The sequence below is a fragment of the Homo sapiens genome, chromosome 7 (genome assembly GCF_000001405.40).
Source record: "Homo sapiens chromosome 7, GRCh38.p14 Primary Assembly".
NCBI lineage: Eukaryota > Metazoa > Chordata > Mammalia > Primates > Hominidae > Homo > Homo sapiens.
The window spans coordinates 139588937-139612216 of NC_000007.14; the positions used below are offsets into that span (position 1 = coordinate 139588937).

Genomic DNA, 23280 nt, shown 5'->3' on the forward strand with positions numbered 1-23280 from the left:
TTCACTCTCAGCTTCGGGCACAGCTACTCCTGAATGATGAACATGCCTCTGGTCATCTCATGAAACGCAGACATGTTCTGTTGCAGGTGCCCATTCTGTGGGTGGAGGACCCCAGGTGAGGATGGAGGCTGACTCCCAAATGTGTCCTGGGAGCTGGCACTGCAGTCCTAGCTCTGCTGTTCCTTTACTGGTGTGGCTCTGGACAGTGGCCTGGATAACCTGTAACATCCATCCAGCTCCAATCTGCTCTGAAATTCATTGAGAGAGATTACTCATGGCATTAAAGGAGCCATTATGAGGATCTCTGAAAGATTCCTAGAGACATTCTAAAATAGGAATGGTCTAGCCCTAATCTGGAGAGGAAAGAGATCCTTTTAGCAGATGTACCTTACCTATAGACCCAGATCTGGCCAGTTCTTGCTGATCATATCTTCCTTAGGATCTGAGTAGTTTAGAAAATGAGCATTTAAAAAAAAAAAAAACAACAAAAAGACAAAAACACACACTAATTTTGGCAAAACTGTAATCTGCCCTCGAGTAAAATTCAAATTGGGCATATTTGGAGCTCTTCACTCAAATGTGGAAATTGTGGAGAAGCTTCAGCTTAATATGAATAAGAATTTTCTAACAACTAGAACTATCTCAAGACACAACAGCCACTTCATGAGTCACTGAGCTTCTTGTCACTGAAGAATGGCTTTCTGGCATGAGTCTTGTGAGAGCTGACAGCTTGGCGTGGGTGACCTGTGAGAACTGAGGGCCATCTCCTTGATGGAAACCCAACAGGTAGTGAGCCTCCCACTGAAGAGACTGAAGAATCTGCATGTCAGTGTCTAATTATCTACAAGGAGTGTGGGATAAAACCTTTATAAACTCTTCCCAGGTCCCATCCCTTTGTTGTAGCTGGGGAGCCCCTGGCTTAATGAGCAAATATGTACGGCACAGCTTGATGCTGATTTGCCTACCTTTTTGGATTTACAAGTGACACATTTATTTGCAGAAGGTGAATTCATTTGCTAGCTGTTTTTCATCTCTTCCATTGTTAGAAAGCTCTGCGCTCTACCTGAACACACTATGCAGATTAGAGAACTAATGGGAAGCTGTTAAATGAGTCACTTTAGAAATGAGCACACATTTCAGATGACTACGGCAGATTCTTTAGGCTCGTATCTATCGATACTACTGGGATTCATTCCATGATTGCGTCTAGTTATTATTGACAGCTTATCAATCCCATTATGAGTTGGTTAATGCAAGTGAGAGAGATAGCGATAGGGGCAGAGTGAGAAATATTTGCTGAAATGGCCTTGGAAGAACATCACTTCTGAATAAAGAACAAAGCTGTCAGAGTTCACAATTGCATTATGTTGTCATGGCAATAGATAATTTTCATCATTTCAAAATGATGAAAATAAATAAGGAGCTAAAAAGTAAAGAAATCCCTAAAGGAGAAAGCACTGGCAGAAGATCAGATATAACCTGTGACCCCTTCCCTGTAGGGTCTTATCTGGAATGTGTCTCTGATTTCTATTTGCTAATCTGAGTCAATTTCATCCTTCAAGACCAGGGTCAAAACTCATCTCCTCCAATAACTTCTTTTACCCTTCTGATTTCATAGTCAATGCTATGTGTTCTATTACTATGATGCTGATTATTAAGTACAGGTAACATTTATTGGATGCATACTAACTACAGCTTAAAGTGCTTTATATGTTTATCTCCTTTAATCATCATGGCAAGATGATGTGGTAAAGAATATGACTACTTTTGGCTGGGCACAGTGGCTCACGCTGGTAATTCCAGTGTGCCTCCAGACCAGTATGCTCCTTCCTGATAGCTGCTGACTTAGAGTCATTAGAGAGAAAAAAAAAATCTTCATTTTAATATGGCACATACATTCCATTCAAATTATTATTATTATTTTTAGAGACAGGGTCTCACTCTGTCATCCAGACTGCAGTATCGTGTTATGAGCATAGCTCATTGCAGCCTCGAACTCCTGGGCGGAAGCAATCCTCCCATCTCAGCTTCCCAAGTAGCTGGGACTACAGGCACGTACCACTGTGCCTGGGGAATTTAAAAAAATTTTTTGTAGAGACAGGGTCTTGCTATATTGCCCAGGTTGGTCTCAAACTCTTGGCCTCAAGTGATCCTGGCACCTTGGCCTCCCCAAGTGCTGGGATTCCAGGTGTGAGCCACCATGCCTGGCTCCTCCTTTCAAATTGTATTATCTGCATATTTATGTCTATGTCTATGTCTACACGTGTGTGTATATAAATACACATATATCACCCTTAAGATCATTTTTACATGACTACTTTCTAGAGAAATCAGAAACAGGGTCGCAGAAGTAGCCATGAGTAGTCACCTCGTCCTTGTCCCATCAGATGCAGCGGAAGGAAGTGTTTGCTCTCCTTCCATCTTCTTCTGAAGTCCAGTCTCTCTCTTCCCAACTGGCCTGGGAGTTTTGACTCATCTTTCCTCATCACCTTCAGTCTATCCACTGAGCACCGCTCTGCCCTATGGTATCCAACCCTCTGCCACCCCTCTTCCTCCTTCTTCCCTGTGGAAAGCAAGGAGCAAACCAGGAAGCTGTGGCATATCAGTGACAGCTTTGTAATGTGACAGCAGCTGGGGACAGTAGGGTGAAGTGTCTCTTCTTCAAAATACACCCCTGAGCCACTCTACTCAGCCCACTGGAGTGTCTTAAATGGAGCCCTGTAAAGAGGGTGTGGCGAAGTCAGCTGGACAAAAGATCCTACCATCACCTCTTGAGATGAGTCACATGACTGAAATATTTTTCAACTGGGGATGTATTGTACTCAAAATGGAGAGACACCAAAGTTCCTTCAAATGGCACTGTGTGTCTGGGTTCCTTTGTTCCTTCACTCAAGCCTGATTCCCACGTCTCCATGAGCATGGCAGGAGGCTGGCTGTAGCAGCTTCTCAACCAATGGCAGGATGGAGCAAGCTACATGGTTATAGGTAGCAATGGAGGCTAATCCCACTTTGGGCTTTTTGCCCATGCAATAATAAATGAGTGTGTGTGGTTTTTGCTCCCTCTGTTAAGTGGATGTTAATTTTTCAGGCCAAAGTAATTTGAGCTGCAGTTTATCAGTTTTCTAACCTTGCTTTATCTATAATGATTTCTCTAGACTTTCAACTTAGTATAAACAAGGAAAACATTTCGGGTCAAATTTTTTTTATATATAAACATGTTAAGAGTGAGCTAAGTAACTGTTTTTATATCTAAAATACTGAATGATATTTATGAATCAATTTTCTTAAAGTTTTCATTTTTGGTAACGTCGGCTGAAACAGTGGCTGCTTACACAGGCACAGTGAAGTGCAGCCTGCAGGAGACACTTGATGACCTAAGCAGAACAACCCACCTACCAGAAATATCCAGGTAACTGAATGAGTGAATGCGTGAATGAATAATGGAGCTGGACAAAATCATTTCTATATGATCAGTTGATGTGAACCACTTTGGTTTACACACTTAAAAAATTACTCTCGGCCAGGCATGGAGGCTCACACCTGTAATCCCAGCACTTTGGGAGGCCAAGGCAGGAGAACTGCTTGAGCCTGGGAGTTCAAGACCAGCCTGGGCAACATAGTGAGACACTGTCTCTAGTTCTTACAAAAATAAAAAAAGAAATTACCCTCATGACTAAAGGTTGTATGCTACAGCCTTTACAAGACCATTTCAACACAAGGTAAAGATAGCAGGGGGGTCTGGATCAGGAGACGTGGATCAAGAGAGTCCAGGAGAGAAAAGATGGCTTGTTCAGTATGTGTAGACAATTAAATGCTTTTCTAATCGAAATTGTCTATAAATATTTAAAAGAAGACCAGTTCTACTACTTAATCCTGGGGGACCCAGAACAATATCTGTTTGTCTTATCTTTTGGCCAATTCTCTAGCCATGACCAGAGTCCCCTAGTCCAACAGTAATTCACTGAAAAGGAGTTCCCTGGCTCTTCCCTGCCCTTCTTACTTTAAAAAGAGCTGACTCCGCCCTTCTCAGTGCCATGGCTCCAGCACTCTGACAAACGCCCAGCACCAAGAGGGGGCTCAGTGGACAATACTCTAGACTCCCTATGGCCCTGGCATGGTGACCTGCACACAGTGGCATAGTGGTAGTCACAGGAGGGAGCAGGATAGAATCTGTATTCATTGAATGAATGACTGAAATCAGTTATTTTTGCCAGTTATTAAGTTTGACATTTCTTCAAGAGCATGGCACCTGAGTCCCAATTCTGCTATTTAGAACCTGTATCAATTTGGGTGAGTCACCTACCTTTCCTGAGCCTCAGTTTCTTCATCTATCAAATGGGAATAGAAATATCAGCCTTGCATGCCCCATCAAATGATGGAGGAGCTAGTGCGGGTGGAACACCCAGTGCATGTTTGCTATGATTCTCCTGTCTTTAGCTCAGTGTCTCCCAGCATCTGCCTCCAACATGCCCTGGAGTTCTTACGAGTGGAGCTGCTGGCCAGCCATCTGCTGTGCAACCAACAGTGCCACATACGTGGGGTCAGGAATAATGATTTTGCATTGGCTTTCTTTTAAAAATTCTAGGCTATATCATCTAGTCCTAGAGGTTTAGTGACACCCTCAATCAGGTCTAAAAGCCCCTTTGGTGGTGGAGGCACTGCCATCCCTCTGAAGGTCATCGGCTGCCTGACTCTGGCTGCCAAGCTGAGGCTGAGCCATGTTAGGGGAATTAACCAGCATTTTAGGCAAAGTTACAGGACTGGCACTGGGGTAAGTAGCAAATAGAAAACGAGGCTGGGAACACAGAAGGTGGGAATCAACATGCCCACAGCATGGAGAAATCAGGCTCGAGAACAAGGATGATCAATGTGTAGGAGGGAAGGTCTCCATCGCTCCAGCTGGGACACAGAAGGGCTGGGGAAGCTCTTCAGCTGGAGAGGGACCAGGTGACCCCTCCATGTGGCTGCACTTGGGGGTGCATCCTTGTTTTCCCAGGACTGATGCTTCCCCTTGAGCCCCTCAGTATCTCCTGACAAAGCTGACCACCCCCATGTAAGGGGAGATCCCTCCCCAACCCCCTTTCCATCCTGAAGCCCCTTTTGGATAAGCTCCTGCACAGGGGTCTTGATCCTGTTCGCTTGCCTTGGAGGCTCTGCCCCATCAATCACCTCACTTGAATTTGCAACCGCACCTCCTCTACTGTGTGGACCTGTCCAGACCTTTGGCCTTCAAAGCCCCCCTCCCCTGCTATTCCCTTAAGCTATTTTCCCTTTGAGTTCCCATGGTACTTTGCTCATTTTTATGGGACTGACACTGTGTTTTGTGTTATAATGATTTGTATGTGTTTCGTCTTGTTTATTACCCTGCAAACCTCATGAGGACACAAACTGTCTACCTTATTTATGTAACACCTGCAGTTCCCAGCATAATATCTTACACTAGTGGGGCCAATAAATACTGACTGTGTTAAATTTTATGATAATTCTGACTTCTAAGAACAAGTAATCATATTTCCCCACATTTTTTTTTTCTGATCCCAAAATGTAGTCACAATAATGTGATCACAGTTACACAGTGGTTTCTCTATAAATAAAACAGCTACTGGTTTCTGTTTTATCCTACTCAGACTCAAATACACTTTCCTACCTTCTTGAGTGCAAAGACATTTTCTAAGGCACTTGCCATTAGATCTCTCTAGAAAACATTATTCTGGGAGCTCCCAGTCACAACTGTGGACAGCTGAAGCCTTTTGGATGACTCCCTAGCCTCAGTCTGCAGCTTCCCTATTCAGCCTCATGTGTCCGGCACATTTTCACGACCCTGGCAGGCTGGCAGTCCCCGCCACTCTTCACTGCAGGATGCTGTGGGACTCAGTAGCCACTGCTACTGTCTGTCTGTGGCTGCCCCTCACCTGTGCACCTGGCTCTCTCTCCCAGGTTTCTTTGAGTTGTTCCCATGAAGGTCCTCATCTGCTGCCCAGCCTCTCGGTTCTATCATTTCTTTCTGGGGGCCTTAGGGGCTGCCGCAGAGGCACGGACATGCTCTGGCTTTGCGTTCCACTCTCAGCCCTGTCAGCTCTCTGACTGGTGGAGAGACGGCTCTCTCATCCTCCTTCTCAGACACGCTATTCAATTCTCTCCTGGGCACAGATGTTGAGAGTCTGTGTCAACTCAGATCTCATACGTTAGGAATGAGATTCCAATCTAGCTGATTGTCAGATTTTAAATTGCTTTTGCTTTTTTCCATTTGTGGCAAAGGGCCGGGCAAGGCTGCTGGACCCTTCTGATGACCAAGGCTACCCACGTGTGGGTGGCTGCTCAAGGCCAGGCTTCAGTCTGGGGCTGGGCAGGGCCGTCCCCTTTGTGAAGAGACTGCTGAGCCCACGTGAGGACTGAACCGACAGTATTCCTGGGTGGTGGTGTGGGGGCACTGCGGAGAATGGACCATTCACTCAACTTGAGGCTGTCATCAAAAAGGGACCTGAGGCCATTTCTGGACTAGGCAGATGGGGAGTAAAAGGCAGTCCTGGGCTGCCAAAGTATTCAGTGCTATGCCTGGACCTTTGACCTGGGTCCCCTCTGACACCTGGCACAATGCTACGGCCACAAGTGCTCCACTACATTCTTCTCTGAAATACAATGACAATTAGGCTGTACCTAATTGGTGGGAAGAGGACACTTGAATGAGACATGTACTAACCCCACCCAGAAACAAACTAAAACCACTGGACTTCATTATAAAGAGGGAAGGGAACGTCCTATGCAGGAATAGTTATAATGAGAATGTTTTCATCAGTCTATCTATACATTTTGTAATGATTTCAAATGTGAGAATTTATTATCTAATCAAAGGATTTGTGATTACTAATTAGTTACATTGCATCCAATCAGGAATTAATAATTCGAGCCTAATTGTGAATTAGGCTTCATATCCAGCTGCAGGATGCGTGCTGACTGGCAGCGCTGGGCCTGGGAGGGGCAGGCCTCCCTTCCCTGGCTCTCGGTTCCAGTGCAAAGGAGCCAGCAGGGTGGGGCCATGAGATTTTGGGCTCTACAAGGCCACACTCTAGGGATGCAGAAGGCCAGGAGGCCAACTGTTCTAGAGGGGTTGCTCAGAACCTGAGCTGAGTGGCCCAAACAAAAACCACATTTTGCTGAAGTCTGGCTGGGCAGTACAGAAAAAGAGGCTCTGGCGCCAGGGTTAGTAGTTTTGTAAATATAATAAAGATTTCTTCCCTCTCCCCAGGAAGCACACAAAGACTAAAATGAATTATTATTACTTTGGGATAAACAGTAATGCTCTCTGGGTGAAGAGCCAACTGGCAGTTTTGAAAGATTAGGTTAATCAGACACAGGGAAATTTCTGATTAATTGGACAATTACTTCGTATTCTGAGTGAGCCAAGGCAATGTTAGAGAAATATCCTGACCAACTGGGAATAAATTCACTAGCTTGAGGCAGAGACTTTTAAACTTACAGAGGATGAAATACACTGGCATTGTGTGCCCGATTTTTATGGTCTCAAGTTCCCCAAATGTATAGGGCCTATAATTATCTTTTAAGACCAACATGATTCGACATTATTTTGGTTTTAAACAATTATGGAAAACCTGTTTGACATTCCCTTGAAATAACTTTAGGACCACAGTAGATGGCAAAACCAAACTGTAAGGGTCAGAAGAGAGGGATCCTTATGTTTGATGATGGAAGATGGTCAGATCTGCACACAATGCAAACCCTCCCGGCTCCTTCCTGGAAGGCTAAGGTGGCACTGCCTCACCTGGTGGGGGCGTGTTTCTGTTCCTCCTCCTCGTCCGTGTCACTGCTGATGGTGATGACGCTGACCGTGGGGCTGGGAGTGTCGGGAATGACAATTGTCTGCCGCTGCCGTTCCCGGGTGGTGCTGGAGGCCACGTCGCCCCACCCACAGGTGACCGAGGTGCTGCAGGCCGGGCTACTGTGCACCATGGCACAGCGGGGAGGTGTGTTCTCCTTGACACGCTTGGATCGCTGTGGGGAGCTGATGGCCTGAGAGGAGGACACCTCACAGGTGGAGACATTTCTGTAATGAGAAAACCACACTCTCACACAGAGGAAGGTCAGGCCCCACAACTCCTTCGAAGGAGCCCAATTGCCTAGAAACACCTGCTTTGCCAAATCTCTGTAAAACACGTCAGTGGCTGCCCAATGAGCCTCCATCTGTGACTGGGAAAGGGATCATTCAGTGAGCGGCTACACAGGCCTTCTCTGGGCTCTGGTTTGGATCTACATGCCTGCTCCCAGCAGGACAAAGGGAGCAGCCAGGGCTTTCGGAGCAGGGAGGGGGCTCTTGTGCCCCAGGCTCTACAGGTCTTGTAGGAGCAGATGTCATGCCAGGATTCCAGCTGTGTTTGCCCCAACACACCCCCTCGCCTTCAGGGTCAAGGCCCTACTTCTGAGCTCTGTCTTGTGTCATCCCTTCAAAGGTACTTAAGTCTTGTTTTGGGGGTGGTGGAAGAATTGGTGTTTGCCACATCAAGCTTTGGTTTCCTTGCTAATGGTTATTCTACTGAAACATTCATTCCTTAAGAGTTTCAGGATCTAAAGGACCTAACCTTGGTGACCAGTGGTTCAGTTTTCCTTCTTTCCTCCTCTGGAAAAAGAACATGACCATCAAAGTATTTGTGTGCATATAATTGCTAAAAACCTTAAAAATGATTTTTCTGGATTTTGCCTCGTGGAGCCTCATGGGAGGCGCATTAGTCTAAATTGTAATAGAAAATTTGGAAAAGTGCAAGAGTTTTGAAAAAGCACTCTTAAAAAGAGAACTTTTAATCTTAATTTTGATCAACTTGAAATTCCTTACTAAATTAACCAGTGTGATTTTTGGTAACTTTAGGGGAAAAATACTTTCTCCCCTCCCTATTAGATCCTCACTGACTCTGGCACAGGGTGAACATCTTTTACCTGAAATGCTTGGTCCAGAAGTGTTTCGGATTTTTGTTTTCAGATTTTGGAATATTTGCATATACATAATGAGATATATTGGGGATGAAACCCAAGTCTAAACACAAAATTCTTTTGTTTCATATACACCTTATACACATAGCCTGAGGTCATTTTATACATTATTTTATAATAATTTTCTGGATGAAACAAAGTTTTGACTGAGACCACATGTCAGGTGTGGAATTTTCCACTTACGGCATCATGTCAATCCTCAAAAAGTTCCGAATTTGGGACAATTTTGGAGTTCTGGATTAGGGATGCTCAACCTGTAGTATCTATGCAGTGAGAGACTAACAGCAATGTATAATGAAACTCAGACTTTTATATGTCTTTAGAGATTCTAGCACCTTCTAGCTAAAGGGATGGCAGTAAAATGAAAATAATTCAATAAAGGTGGATTTATTTTCCTATCTAGCTAGTGCCAGATACATTGCTTGCTCCTTCTAGGGACTGGTAATATGTTTCACTGATATGATTGTACCATTGTTTGTACTTACTATAAACCTATGTATTTGTCGTTGCTAATACATTACAATTTTAAGATTATGTTTTTCACTACCAATGGTTTTAGTATCTCCACTTGGCATTGTTAAGGAAAAGTATGCCTGGCCACATCACCAACAAGGGAGAGACTTCTGGTCTTTCAGACTGTTTTGCTAAGGCATTGGTCTTAAAAATAAGCAAATACATACCTTTCACTATAATTATATCGATCTTGAAATGTACTGGCAATGAGGCTTCATGAAGTCAGCTGGGTGGTGAGTAAACAAAAAGGAGGGACTTGCTAAACAGGTTGGGAGGCTAAGGGTTCTTACTGCCCCTACTCAGCCAAGGTGAACCACAAAGATGCTAAGCTCAGTCCTGGGACAGAGTAGTGCTCCATGTGACCTTGCTGGGCATGACAGCCCATGAGGATTGAGACAGTGGACTTTGTTGCCACCCAGTCTAATAATGACATGGGTGAGCTGTCACAAGGCTGCCAAACAAAAGCGTTCTGGAAAGCTGCCAATGATCTGAGATAAATTTCCCTGAGTTGTCAGAAATACCCAAATAAGGAATCTTGGAGGATGACAACTTCAGCCCTTGGATGAATTTTTGAATAAGAATGAAAAGAAAAAGGCCTAGTTTCTGGTATCTGCTTATATGAGGAAGCAGAAAACCAAAATCACTAGACATTTTGTATACCAGATTTCTCTTGATTGACTTATCGCAAATAAGCAATTAAGCACCTCAAAGCTGTGCCATTAGGAAGAGATGCAGGAGCAATCCTGTAGTCACACGATCTCTCTCTCTCTCTCTGGCTTGGAAATCTCCATTTTTTAAAAAGTCAGGTTTATTAAGGTATAACTGACATATAGCAACATTTCTCCCTTTGAAGTGTTTGATGAGTTTTGACAAATGCACAGTCATAACCCCCCCTACAATCCAGACTTAGAGCTTTTCCCCTCAGGATTCTTCGCAGTCAATCTCCTCCTCTCCTACTGGTCTCTGGCAAGCCCTAATCGGATCTCTGTCTCTATGTTTTGCCTTTTCCGAAATGCCATATAGATGGAATCATACAGCATGCAGCCTTTTGTTGACCTTGATTTTTTCAAAGTGTTCATTGAGATGAGAATGGATTTAAAGGGAATGGGAAAGATTTGTGTTCTGCTGGTTAGTGTCTGGGATTAAACAAGCTATTGCTTCTATTTAAGCAAGGTGCTAAATCAGTTAAACTTCTGATCTTAGATACAAAGAAAGCACATTTCTTTAGTATTTTTTAAAACATTTTTAAACAACTTCAACATTTTAAAATATTTTAAAACAATTATTATGGTAAATTGTTTCCAAAATGAAACTTCAGGTGAAGCTGAGTGTTCTCCAGACAAGTAGAAAGTGACAAAAGATAATTTGCTTCACCAAACTTTAGTCAGGCTTGTGAACCTTCTCCTAGGTCTAACTGTGCACTCTGCTGTACAATCTACTTTTGGCAAAAAACCTTGCTAAGTCAGTTTAGCAAGAACCCACCATCCCTGATATCTGATCACCCTCGATATCTGATGAGGTTCCTCATCCTCCAGGTGTGATATCTGATCACCCGGGCCTGTCATTAGCAAGAATCCTGTTAGGTCAGTTTAGGCAGAATCTCCCTTACCCCTGATGCTTCCTCTTAGTAACTTCCCATCCACCGACACCCCCCAACCCTGCCTTGGCTATAAATTTTCACTCGCCCACGCTGTATGGAGTTGAGCCCAATCTCTCTTGCCCACTGCAAGATTCCATTGCATCCATCCCTACACTATTACCACGGTCTTAAACCAAGTGCTTCCTGCAAACCCTAGGCCAAACCAGGTGGTACAGGATGTTTTGCTAGTCACTGCAGGAAGAGGAGTGCCCCCATCCCATGCAACTGTCCCATGTTCAGAGTGGGTGCTGATACTCCCTAAACTACATTTCTTTAGCACTCACATCCCCTGGGATTTCTCTTCCCTAGGGTGGCTCTCACCACCTACCTCACAGATGACTGGTGCTGCTTACTCTTCCGGGAGGAGGTGGTGCTGGTTGGCTGCTGCCGCATCACGTGGGCCACACCCACATTTAAGGGCTGTGCTGCTGGAAGGGTCACATGACCGGTCAATAGTGCAGGCTGCTGCATGATGGGATTATAATGGCTTCCGTGAGCATGCGTATTTCTGAAAGGCAACCGGGACAACAAGGTGCCTTAGAGGTGTTCTAAAAGTAGAGCTCCTCTATAAGATCAAGCTTCCTCCCCAATTAAACGCTGACTGCAGTTGGTTATCTCACTAGCTGTGCAGCTGCTGAAGGGATGAGCCTGGCCATGTGTGCTCAACGGGTGGGTTTCTTCTACTCATAAGGAGTAGGTGAAACATAACTGGCTGTGAGTGAGAAAGAGGACTTTCAAGTGGGAAGAATGCCAAGTACACCGGCTCCAAGTTTTTAAGTTCTAGGGACTGGAGATAAATATTCCCTCCAACTTTTAAAGTCCCTGAGCACCTAGGTGTTTATCCTGAACAATATTCTATTTTAGAATTTACAGGCCAGGTATGGTGGCTCACACCTGTAATCCCAGCACTCTGGGAGACCGAGGAGGGCAGACGGCTTGAGCTCAAGAGTTTGAGACCAGCCTGGGCAACATGGCAAAACCCCCTTTCTACCAGAAATACAAAAAATTAGCTGGGCATGGTGGGGTGCACCTATGGGCCCAGCTACTCGGGAGGCTGAGGTGGCAGGATCACTTAAGCCTGGGAGGCAGAGGTTGCATGAGCCGAGATTGTGCCACTGCACTCCAGCCTGGGTGACAGAGCGAGACACTGTCTCAAAAAAAAAAAAAAAGTTTCACCTTAATTTTATAAAAAAAATTTTTAAATGAAGAAAAAGCGGAATTTACACAGTGTCTTCAATGGGTTATTTTATTCCACTCTGTGACGTAGGCAGGATATCTTAGCAATACCATTTTATTAAAGAAGAAATTATACTTTACGTGAAAAACAAACTTTGAAGCCTGGGAGCCATATGCTTCTGGTGTTAGGAAGTGTTAATGTTCTTTTGAATTCCCTCAGTGGCTGGAACAATGCTCAGGCATATAGCAGCTGATCAATTAATTACACGCTTGCTGAATGAATAATTAGATTAACTGAAGGTTGACTAGACAAGTATAAAGTTGGTATTAAATCAAAATTAATAACAGTCATGATAGAAATACTGGCAGCCCTCATCCTAAAAACGGGTTATGTTTCACAATTCTTATAATTTGGGTTGTATGAAGCTTAAAGCCTTGTTTTCCCACAGAAATGTTAAAGGTGGTGACTGACTCAGAGATTGGCCCATAAGAGCTCATTTAACACATAATAAAATTCAAAGCTAAAGGATAATTCATTTGAATTTTAGAAAATTATAAGAACCTATTGTTGCAACATGGGGAAAAGGATGAACAGGAAAAAAGAAGTAGATGAACACTTTTGTAGGGATTTTGATAGCGCCTTTTGGGCATTTACATGGACTTTAGAAACTCATATTATGGCTTCTTTTTTTTTTTTTTTTTTTTTGAGATGGAGTCTCAGTCTGTTGCCCAGGCTGGAGTGCAGTGGTGCGATCTCGGCTCACTGCAACCTCTGCCTCCTGGGTTCAAGCGATTCTCCTGCCTCAGCCTCCCGAGTAGCTGGGATTACAGGCGTGCACTGCCACGCCCAGCTAATTTTTGTATTTTTAGTAGAGGCGGGGTTTCGCCATGCTGACCAGGCTGGTCTCAAACTCCTGACCTCAGGTGATCTGCCTGCCTTGGCTTCCCAAAGTGCTGGGATTACAGACGTGAGCCACTGCATCCGACCAAGAAACTGATATTATGGCTTCTTTATTTTGTTGTAGCTCTTTCTCCTGTAGACAGGTGGCACTCTTTCTCTTTTGAGTCAGGCCTAGCACTGGTACTTCTGTTTGTTAGCCACAATAATAGATGTTCTTTGGCTCACACATGAAATGGAGAGAGACCAGGAAGAGAGTATGCTGGCTTTAGATGTCTCCTGTGGTCACTAGGTAAGAGATGTCAAAACGAAAGGAAGGAGGGAGGAGGAATAAGAAAATATGTAGGAATTAGTAAGTGTATGTGTATTTCTGAAATTAGATGAGCTATAAATGCTGAAAGACAAAAGGGAAAAAAAGGAATATGTCATGTGTGTGGTCTTTTAGGAGAAAAAGGGGCGAGGGAAAAAAAAAAACCCAGTTGGTCAGACAGCTTTCCACTCGGCTGCTCCTAAGGAGCTGGAGGAGGAAAGGCAATCTTGCTGAGCATGGGCCGATGTGATAGTGGGGAGGGAAGATGACAGGTTTATTTAATGCCTGTCATGTACCGGGCACTGCGATGGTGCATGTTAAATATAGGCCAAGTGCTTTGTATTTTATCTTACTTTAAACCTCCCAACAATCCTGTGAAGCAGGCATTACTATCCCCACTTTATTGAAGAAGAAACTGAGGTGCATAAAGGTTAACTTGCCCCAGGTCATGCAGAGCCAGGATTGAACTCAGCTCTACATGGTTTGAGATGGAGTCTCACTCTGTTGCCCAGGCTGGAGTGGTGGCATGAGGGCGTTGCCAGAAGGGAAGTGAGTGGGACTGTGGGGAAGGGCCCAGGTACTCTGTACTGGGCAGAAAATGAACTGGAGGAATGGAGGAAGCTGCAGTAGGGGTCTGACTGGGGGCTTATATCACCACCTTTCTTCTTTTCTCGGAGAGATCTTAATTCACAATAGCCTTGTAGGTCAGAATAAGAACTGTGGGAGGTTCCCTGTGTGATATGGAGGCTGTCAGGGGGTTGAGGGGAGTGACCTGTCCTGATATTCGTGCAGAATGAGAGATAGCCCAATAGGGCCATGAGGAGTTGGGGACAACTTGGAGGGTTGCCATCTGGCTCTGCACTGGTGAAGGGGCCATTGTGGTGGTGTTCGGGGGAAGGTACAAGGGTATCTAGCCATAAAAATAACAGAGGAGCGCATCTGTGAGGAAATCATGAGTTGGGCAGGGTAGAGTTCTGGAAACAGATGCAGGGGGTATGCTGTGCTGGCAGGCAGTCAGGTGGACGCCTCTGGGGTGTGTGGGAAGTAGACTCTGATCTGTAAGATATGACTATTAACTGAAGAGGCACACTCAGCAAACATGCCAGCATTTACCCTTCCAAATAAACCCCATTCTGTCAAGCCATCCCGTGGGAGGTCAGATAGACTCCAGAGTACCCCCGTCTCAAACATCTTCAGAACACTTTCTAGAATTGCTTAGGGCTTTGGGGACCCTCTTCTGCATTCTTTCACTGGTGACAGACCTTTGTTTTCTGAACGTAGAATTTAATTCTGAGAAACTACCAAACATCATCCAGAACCAAGTCTGGTGAATTACACTGATGAGTAAATGACATAACTGAATTCTGGGTGGAAATGACAACCAAGCATAAATTAATGAAACTGATTTTCTTGTATCCTGGTATATTATTTAAAAATTGCTTCTTGTTACCCTGCACTCATAGTCCACACAATATTTTTAGAAGCTTTAAAAAGCTCTCTACAAACCGGGGAATTGAAGTACAGGCCAGCCTGGCAGCCCTGTGTTGGCAGTGGACGTGCCTCCCATCCCAGACACACCCACTCACCCTAGAGGGGTTTCCTGCTTACCTCCAGTCCGCCAGCTGCTGGGTGCCTGCCATGGTCTCGGGAATCACGGTGGCATGCTGCACTGATGTGTGGGTGGCCACTCCAGTCAGTTGCTGCCATGCTGGGGGAAGCAGGATCTGCTGGGTCCCACTTGGCCAAGCCTGCTGTAGAACACAGGACATGTGCAATGACCATGTTTGCTAATCACATAATTGATTTGCATGAACCCACACTTATTCTGTGCCTGGGGTTGTGCTAGACATTCTCATGGGTGTGAGAGTGAGGGCCTGGTCTCTGGCCTCAAAAACTAAAGTAAGGGGAGATAAACAATGAACATACAGGCCGGGTGCAGTGGCTCACGCCTGTAATCCTAGCACTTTGGGAGGCTGAGGAGAGCGGATCACGAGGTCAGGAGATCCAGACCATCCTGGCTAACACAGTGAAACCCCATCTCTACTAAAAATACAAAAAATTAGCTGGGCGTGGTAGCGGGCACCTGTAGTCCCAGCTACTTGGGAGGCTAAGGCAGGAGAATGGCATGAACCTGGGAGGTGGAGCTTGAAGAAGTGAGCCGAGATGGCGCCACTGCACTCCAGCCTGGGCGACAGAGCGAGACTCCGTCTCAAAAAAAAAAAAAAAAAAAAAAAAAAGAACATATATGAACTAAGTAGAAGATAATTAAGTACAGGGACACAGCTGTATGGAAGGGATTCATTCATGTTGAAGAATGATTTCTTTATAAATTTGCTCTAATGAGCAATGCTTGAAGTTTCTGAAAGTTTATTTATTTACTTGTTCTGTCCCACAACTATGTACAGGGGATTAGGGTAGTTGAGTTGAGCTAGATGAGGGTGACCGCTGGCCCTCAAGAAGCTTTCTGCCTAGTATCCTTTATTTAACATTTTACCTTTGATTTATCAATTAGAATCTAGGTTCCAGCTTGTGTTATCTTCTGAATCTAAGTTTACACAATTCTAAGATCACCAAATATCTGGAACCTACATCTGAGAGCAAGCAAGTATGAAGTAAAATTCTTAGCTGTGACTATAGCTTAATTGAGAATTACTTTGATTTCTCAAAGCAAAAATGAGAGAGAGGCGGAAGTCACTGCTTGAACCTAATTTTTCTAAGAAATCTAAAATGAACGTTTGTGATTCTTCCTTGATAGATTCACTGGTGTGTGTGTGTGTGTGTGTGTGTGTGTATGTTGTGTTTTAAGCTCTTTTAATCCATGATCACTATTCTGCTTGTCTTTGGTCATTAGATGATTCAGACTGAATACCACTGCCTAAAGTTGGACACTTAAAGCATAGTCACTAAGGTAAAATACCTTTTGGACAGATCAAATATTTAAAGGTTTGATATCTTAGCCATCTCTCTTTCTATCAGAGTGGATGTGACTAACATTGGGTAATTTATCGAATGCAGTGCTTCACAAACTGTGCATGTGCTCAGTGTGGGTGTTTTATAGGTACAAATACGCAATTCTGGAAATGGATTACAGATTTGAGTCAGGGCCTAAAAAACATTGACGCTTATAAAAATGAGAGAATCACATTTGAGAGCTGAGTGGACCAGTTCACCTGTTCCGTTATTTTCATGTTGCACCTGAGGCCCAGTGCAATCTCTTAGATGTTTTTGATACTGTTTGTTTGCTTTTGATATAGGCAGAAGCTCAGGGACCATGCGCATACCATGAGTGCTTAATATCTGTTGATAAAATGAAAGAAGCAACTCTACCAACGCTATTAACTACAGTTAATTGTATTTCAGGTTTACTTAACTCACAGAAAGCGGAAACATAATTTAATTGATTAAAACAGTTGCAAATTCCAAATATTAAATAAATAACAATTTCGTTTGCAGTAAGGTTTCTACTGACTTAGCCAATTGGAACTCATTTCAGAGCTCATGAAAAGCATTAGTTTTAACTAATGTCATTTAAAAAATAAATCTTGATATCAAGCTAAGGTTATCATTTTTCTTCTATTTCCCTGAAATGGATATTAACATTTTACCTCAAAGAGATAGGGTAGAAAGACTATTTTTGACTTATTTCACTGATTGATATGCTTGGCTCATTTGTGACAACGCTTCATCAGACATTTTTATAATTTATTACTACTAACAAGAATGAAGTGAACATTTCTTAATGGATATTGTGTGCCAAACACAGAGTTAAGTCATAAATGAGTTTCTGACTACTTCTTTTTTCTGACTTCTTAATACCAGTTCTGTGAGGTAGGGACTGTTATTTTCTTCCATTTCTAAGATTAATAAATTGAGACACAGAGAGGTTAATAATATTAATAACTTGCCCTGAAATATGGTAAATTAAACATATACATTTATTGCCTTCTTTACACTCAACTAAAATGATAGTAAAGGAATAAAAAATACAGATTCATAAGGGCAAAGAGAGTAGGAGAGAGGCAATCACCATGAATAAAATTTTAGAAGCTGAAAAACTGATGGACAATTACTAAGTGAATTAACAGACTGAAGGAATCTAAGATCAGGTCTTCATTTCCCCTTAGTTCCCAGATCCTTGGTGTACATGCTTATACCACCCTCCACTCCCCGCCCCAAAGCAGGAGGCTAGACAATTCTCTCTAGGGGAAATGACTAGTCCAAGAGAAAATAACTACAGATATGACATTTAAGGATCAGGGGATCTGTCAGTGAAAATGCTGGACTTGCCTCTTTTCAGTCTATAGAGAAGCCCACATTCAATAGTCTCTCCCCTACCCTCCAGGTTTCCAATTAGTTTTTTAGTGCTTTAGTCTTAAATAGGAATGAATAGCTAATGATCACCAGACAGTAAAGGAAGCCTCTAACCTGAAAGAGAATAAAATAAGCAAACAAAAGAAAGAGGAAACAAAAACAGTGTGGGAATCAGAAGAAAATTTTCTAAAATCTATAATTAATGCCTTTACAGAGTTAAAAAATATATCCATGAAACAAGATCATATAAAGAATCAATATCTATATTCAGAGAACATGCTCTTTTTTGGTATGGAGGGAGCAGAGAACAAACTCTTGGAAATGAGAACTACAACAACAGAAATTAACCATTCAAAAGGAGGTTTCAAAAAAGTTTAAGAAATCTCTTAGAAAGTAGTGCAGACAGAGGATATATAGGAAATAGAGGGGAAAAAAAGATAAGAAAATCGGAAGATCAATTTAGAAGTACCAACACTCAATTAATAAGAATTCTGCAAAGGAGAAACAGAGAAAATGGAGGGGAAGAAATTATCAAAGGAAAAAAAAAATCCAGATTAAAAGGGCAAATAGGGTGTTCAGGACAATGTAAGAAAAAAGACCCAAAAGAAGGCATGTAGTCATGAAATGTGAGTCCACTGTGGATGAGGAGAAAGTCGCTTTCAGAGAAAGAAAAAACAACATACTGAGATCAGTGTGCTCAAACACATCAACACATCAAACATACAAACCTTTTATAGCTCTGGAAGGGTTTGGGGCTGTATAATGAGATATACAGAAAACTAACCCAATGGGAAAAATGAGGCAATCATTAACTCCAGGAAAAACAAAAAGATGTGTTAGAAAGAAAACATAATCACAGTATATTATAAGGCTCAACTAAGAATAATATTATATAATATTGATAATTATGTAAATATTACAAAGTAGTTGAATCAAAATTATGTGGGAGGAATAGGAGAAAAGAGTGAGTGAAAGGAGGAACAGGAGAGAAATTGTGTGTGTTATGGGGATGGCAGTGGGTTAGAAAGCTAAATCTTCATCTTCCATAATAGGAAGTCAATGGATAATACCTAAAATGGAAAAAAAAATCCATAAAAAGCAGTCTAAGCATATTATTTAGAAACACAGAGTTAAAGAACAGATTAAACAGTTAAGTTAAAAATTATCGTTATGGCCAGGGCACAGTGGCTCACACCTGTAATCCCAGCACTTTGGGAGGCCAAGGCGGGTGGATCACTTGATGCCAGGAGTTTGAGACCAGCCTGGCCAACACATTGAAACCTAGTCTCTACTAAAAATACAAAAAAAAATTAGCCGGGGCGTGGTGGCACATGCCTGTAATCCCAGCTACTCGGGAGGCTGAGGCACGAGAATTGCTTGAACCCAGGAGGCGGAGGTTACAGTGAGCTGAGATTGCACCACTGCACTCCAGCCTGGTGGCAGAGCAAGGCTATGTCTCAAAAAAATACGTGTGTGTGTGTGTGTGTGTGTGTGTGTGTGTGTATAAATAAAAACTTTTAGGGATAATATATATTATATATATAAAATATATATATAACAGGGATAATATATATGTGTATATATATACATATATACATATATAATGTAACTATATATATTGTTATGGGGAGGAGACATTAAGGATGGGATAGAGCAGAGGACTATAATTTTCCTATAAGTTTATGGTATTAATTAACTTTTAAAAATTATGTACATGTATTACTTTGAAAAGGAATTAAATTTAAATTTCAAAAATAACTTCCCCAAAGCCATATAGCCAGTAAGTGGTGAGGCAGCCATCTGAATGTGGGCAACCTAATTCCAGTGCCCATGCTTTCAGCCAATATACACCTCTCCTTGTGTTGATAATACACAAAAATAATGGCCCCTATTCAGGATCAGGCATTGGTGGTAACTGCATAAAGGTGGCATGAACAAGTCTTCCTTATTCTCTAAGAATATCAGGTGCCAGTCAAGAGACAGGCAGACAGCAGGACAATGGTTGGAAAGACTGGTTGCTGAAAATGTTATCAGAGGAACTTTTGAGTGAGAAACATTAAAATTTTGTATTTCGAACAGTTTAAAGGGTTCAAGCCAACAGTTTGTTTTCAGGGAAACATTTAAAGGCTCAGTTGGTCAAATATGAGCCCAAGAAATAAAGTAAATAAGTAAAAAATAAAGAGGTTCAGGTGATATGATTTGATTGGCTAGAAGAACACAAAACACTTCATGGAAGGGTGGAGTCTACAGTGATTTCTCTAACCCTGCTAGTCAAAGGAGATTTTAGATCCTGACATTTGACAAGTCAGATAAATTCAATACTGTCTCAATCAAGAACTGTGCTTCCCATCTCTCCACTATTACCTACTCATTCACAATTTCTGTTGGTGGCCAAGATGCTAGCTGTGGCATGGGGCTTGGGAGGATGGAGTTGACAGCTCCTTTTAGGCAGTACCAAAAAAGCTTTTGTTGCAAGGTGATCCACAAAGATCACTCCCATATCACTAACATAAGCAGAATGATTACCATTTCCACCTGCCATGCACACATCCTCTGGGTGCCCCACAGAGGCCTGTTTCCCTGAAAGTTTTATGTGATGCTGCTGGGAGGTGGGGAGGAAAAGGGCAAAGAAAATGAAATTAACATGAGGAGTGGATTCAAAGACTCCATCTCTAAGTGTTCATAAGTAAAATCCTTTAAAAGATTTTCAGTATTTAGAGAAAAAGAACAATGTCAACTTTTTGAATACATTTATGTCAAATAATAGGATTTGGAATGCCTCTGCCTGGTGCCTAGAAATTTAACTGTAGAAAAACGAAGCCTTCAGTTTAAATGCTTAATTGTGCTTTTTTATAGCCACCATAAGAGTTTTATAAATTAACTTATTTTTGTCCTTTGAAGGGAATGTTTAAAAATATCTAGGAGAGAGCCCATCTCAACAGGCTAACATATTGGCATGGATTAAGTGACAAGCAGAGAGAAAAATAAAAAGCAACTGACAAAAAGACACAACACGATACTGGATAGGGCAGGATTTTTTTCACTTAATATATCTTAGAAATCTCTGCATGTCAAGACACAAAGGTCTACCATGTTCTTTTAATGGCTACATGGTGTTCCATTTTACGTGTGCATCAACTTATTTAACCAATCCCTTACTGACGAACATTCAAGTTTCTTCCAACAATCTCAGTTATAAACACAGTAGCAATTAAAATCCTTACACACGTATTTTTTGTTCACTTTCCTAATTACAGCTTTAGGTTAAATCTACTTGGAGATTTACAACACTCTAGGGACTCTCTTTCAAGGAAGCAAAAGGTAAAGTTCTCCCCTGCTACGATTAAAGGACTGAAACAAATTCTGACTGCTGAGTCTACTGGTTCCACCAAACTGAACAACGAAGAATCCCTATTTTGGCTAATAAGAAATGCTAATTATTATTTCTTTCAGAGATGGCTCCTGGCTTACTAGGGTTAAGTGTGCAAACATAAAAAAGATCTGTAATTATCCTTTAAAAGCACACGTGAGTTCTGTAGATTTGGGCTCACAAAGGCGGAGCACTGGGAGACTGGTGTGGATTTTTGCCACTCAGATAAAGTATGAAGAAGCTTTTTTGCCCCTGGACTGAGCTGTAGTTCTTTCTCTGATCTATCTTGGCCTTTTCTGAACTCCCCGCTACTGAACTATGCAAATAAAAGGAAGCTACAAGGACCCATTGGAGAGAGAGGAACGAAGAGAAGGCCTGTTTTAAATACAAAAAGTTCTCTGTTTACAAACTTTCAATAAGACAAAACTTTGTGTGCTACCAGTCACTGGTGTTAGTGGTCAACTGCACAGTGTCATTCTGGACCTAAGCACAGAGATGAAGAATACTTCATATCGATCTTAAACAAACTGTTCCGGAAAACAGAATAGATAATAATGTAACCACAGCAGTCTGGTTCAACTTTTATGTAACAAAGTTGTGAGTTGTTTTTCATTTGCCATGGATCCACAGGTTAAAGGTCACATAACCTGAGCATGCCCAGATGAACCAGGTATGTAACAACAGGCAGAACCTAAGTGCCTGGATTGAGGCGAGTGAATGGAATTTAGAAATGGATACCACATGGCAGGATCCAGGATCCAATCAGATCGAGCTGTGGCATCACTGCATGGCAGGATCCAGTCAGATCATGCCTCTGATATCAATTCGTTGCAAGATCCAATCAGATCATGCCTCATTACCCTATGCTTATAAAACCTGACCCAGCCCTTTGCTCAGAGACACTGCTTTGGGAACTATCTCCAGTGTTCTCCTTACTTGTTACAAGTAATACAATCCCCTTGCTAAATCCTTGTCTGTGGTCATTGGGTTGGTACCTGTCAAGTGACCAAACCCACTCGTGTGGGTAACAACAAGAAGAAGATATTTTATGAGCCTGGTGTAACCTTGTACTCAAATCAGATAAGGATTTTATAAAAAGGGAAATTATATGCCATTTTTCACCTATGAACATAGATATAAAAATACTAACTATAGTACTTACAAACTGAATCCAATATTAAAAAGCATATCATATCAAGCACATGAGCAAATGGAGTTTATATCATAAATAAAAGGGTAGTTTAATATTACAAAATATATTAATATAACTTGTCCCATTAGTAGATTAAGGAACAAAAAGCATATGAGTGTCTTAATAGATACAGAAAGAACATTTGATATAATTCAATATTCATTACAAAACTTAAACATGATAAAGTGTTTCTATTAATTTTTTTTTTTCTTTACAGACAGGGTCGTACCCTGTTGCCCACCCTGGAGTGCAATGATGTGATCATAGCTCACTGCAGCTTCAAACTCCTGGGCTCAAGTGATCCTTTTGCCTCAGCCTCCTGTGTATCTGGGACTGCAGGCATGTGCCACCATGCCCAGCTAATTTTTAATTTTTTTTTGTAGAGATGGGGTCTCACTATGTTGCCCAGGCTGGCCTTGAACTCCTGGGCTCAAGTGATCCTCTCATCTCAGCCTCCTGAGTAGCTGAGACTACAGGCCTGGGACTACAGGTGTGCACCACCACACCCATTACAGAGTGTTATACCATGTTCATGGATAAAAATGACTTACACGTTTAAAGATGTCAGTTGTTCCTGAAGTAAATATAAATTCAATGTATATCCAGTAAATATAAAGCAGATTTTTGGTTTCTGTAACTAAAATTCTTATGAAAGAGTGATGTTAAAATTCACTTAAAAACATGAAGGGACAAGAACAGACAAGGAAAATTTGAAGAACTCTCTGGGAACAGGGCTTCCCTACTAGATACCAAGACAGACTAAAGTTACAATGGTTAAGACAACAGGATATTAGAGAAGCCAATGGAATAGAAGAGCACAGAACAAACCTACGCAATTTGATTACATAAAAATTAAATTTTTAATTTTTTA

General features: G+C 42.2%; 1 protein-coding gene and 1 long non-coding RNA gene across 14 annotated transcripts in view; one reads left to right on the forward strand and one right to left on the reverse strand.

Moving 5' to 3' along the window:
• HIPK2 (homeodomain interacting protein kinase 2) overlaps positions 1-23280 on the reverse strand; it is a 216429-nt gene that overhangs the window by 27367 nt on the left and 165782 nt on the right. For 9 of the 13 annotated variants that reach the window (NM_001113239.3, NM_022740.5, XM_047420264.1 and 6 more), the window contains 3 exons: positions 15145-15287; positions 11481-11660; positions 7781-8062 (listed from right to left, as the gene is read on the reverse strand). In NM_001113239.3, the coding sequence (NP_001106710.1) occupies positions 7781-8062; positions 11481-11660; positions 15145-15287 (605 nt within the window). The remainder of the gene's footprint in view (positions 1-7780; positions 8063-11480; positions 11661-15144; positions 15288-23280) is intronic. The other 4 variants (XM_047420265.1, XM_047420260.1, XM_011516080.4 and 1 more) reach the window with 1 other exon arrangement.
• LOC105375530 (uncharacterized) overlaps positions 1-23280 on the forward strand; it is a 30021-nt gene that overhangs the window by 3404 nt on the left and 3337 nt on the right. Inside the window, exon 2 of the long non-coding RNA XR_001745383.2 lies at positions 3291-3409. This is a non-coding gene — a long non-coding RNA (uncharacterized LOC105375530). The remainder of the gene's footprint in view (positions 1-3290; positions 3410-23280) is intronic.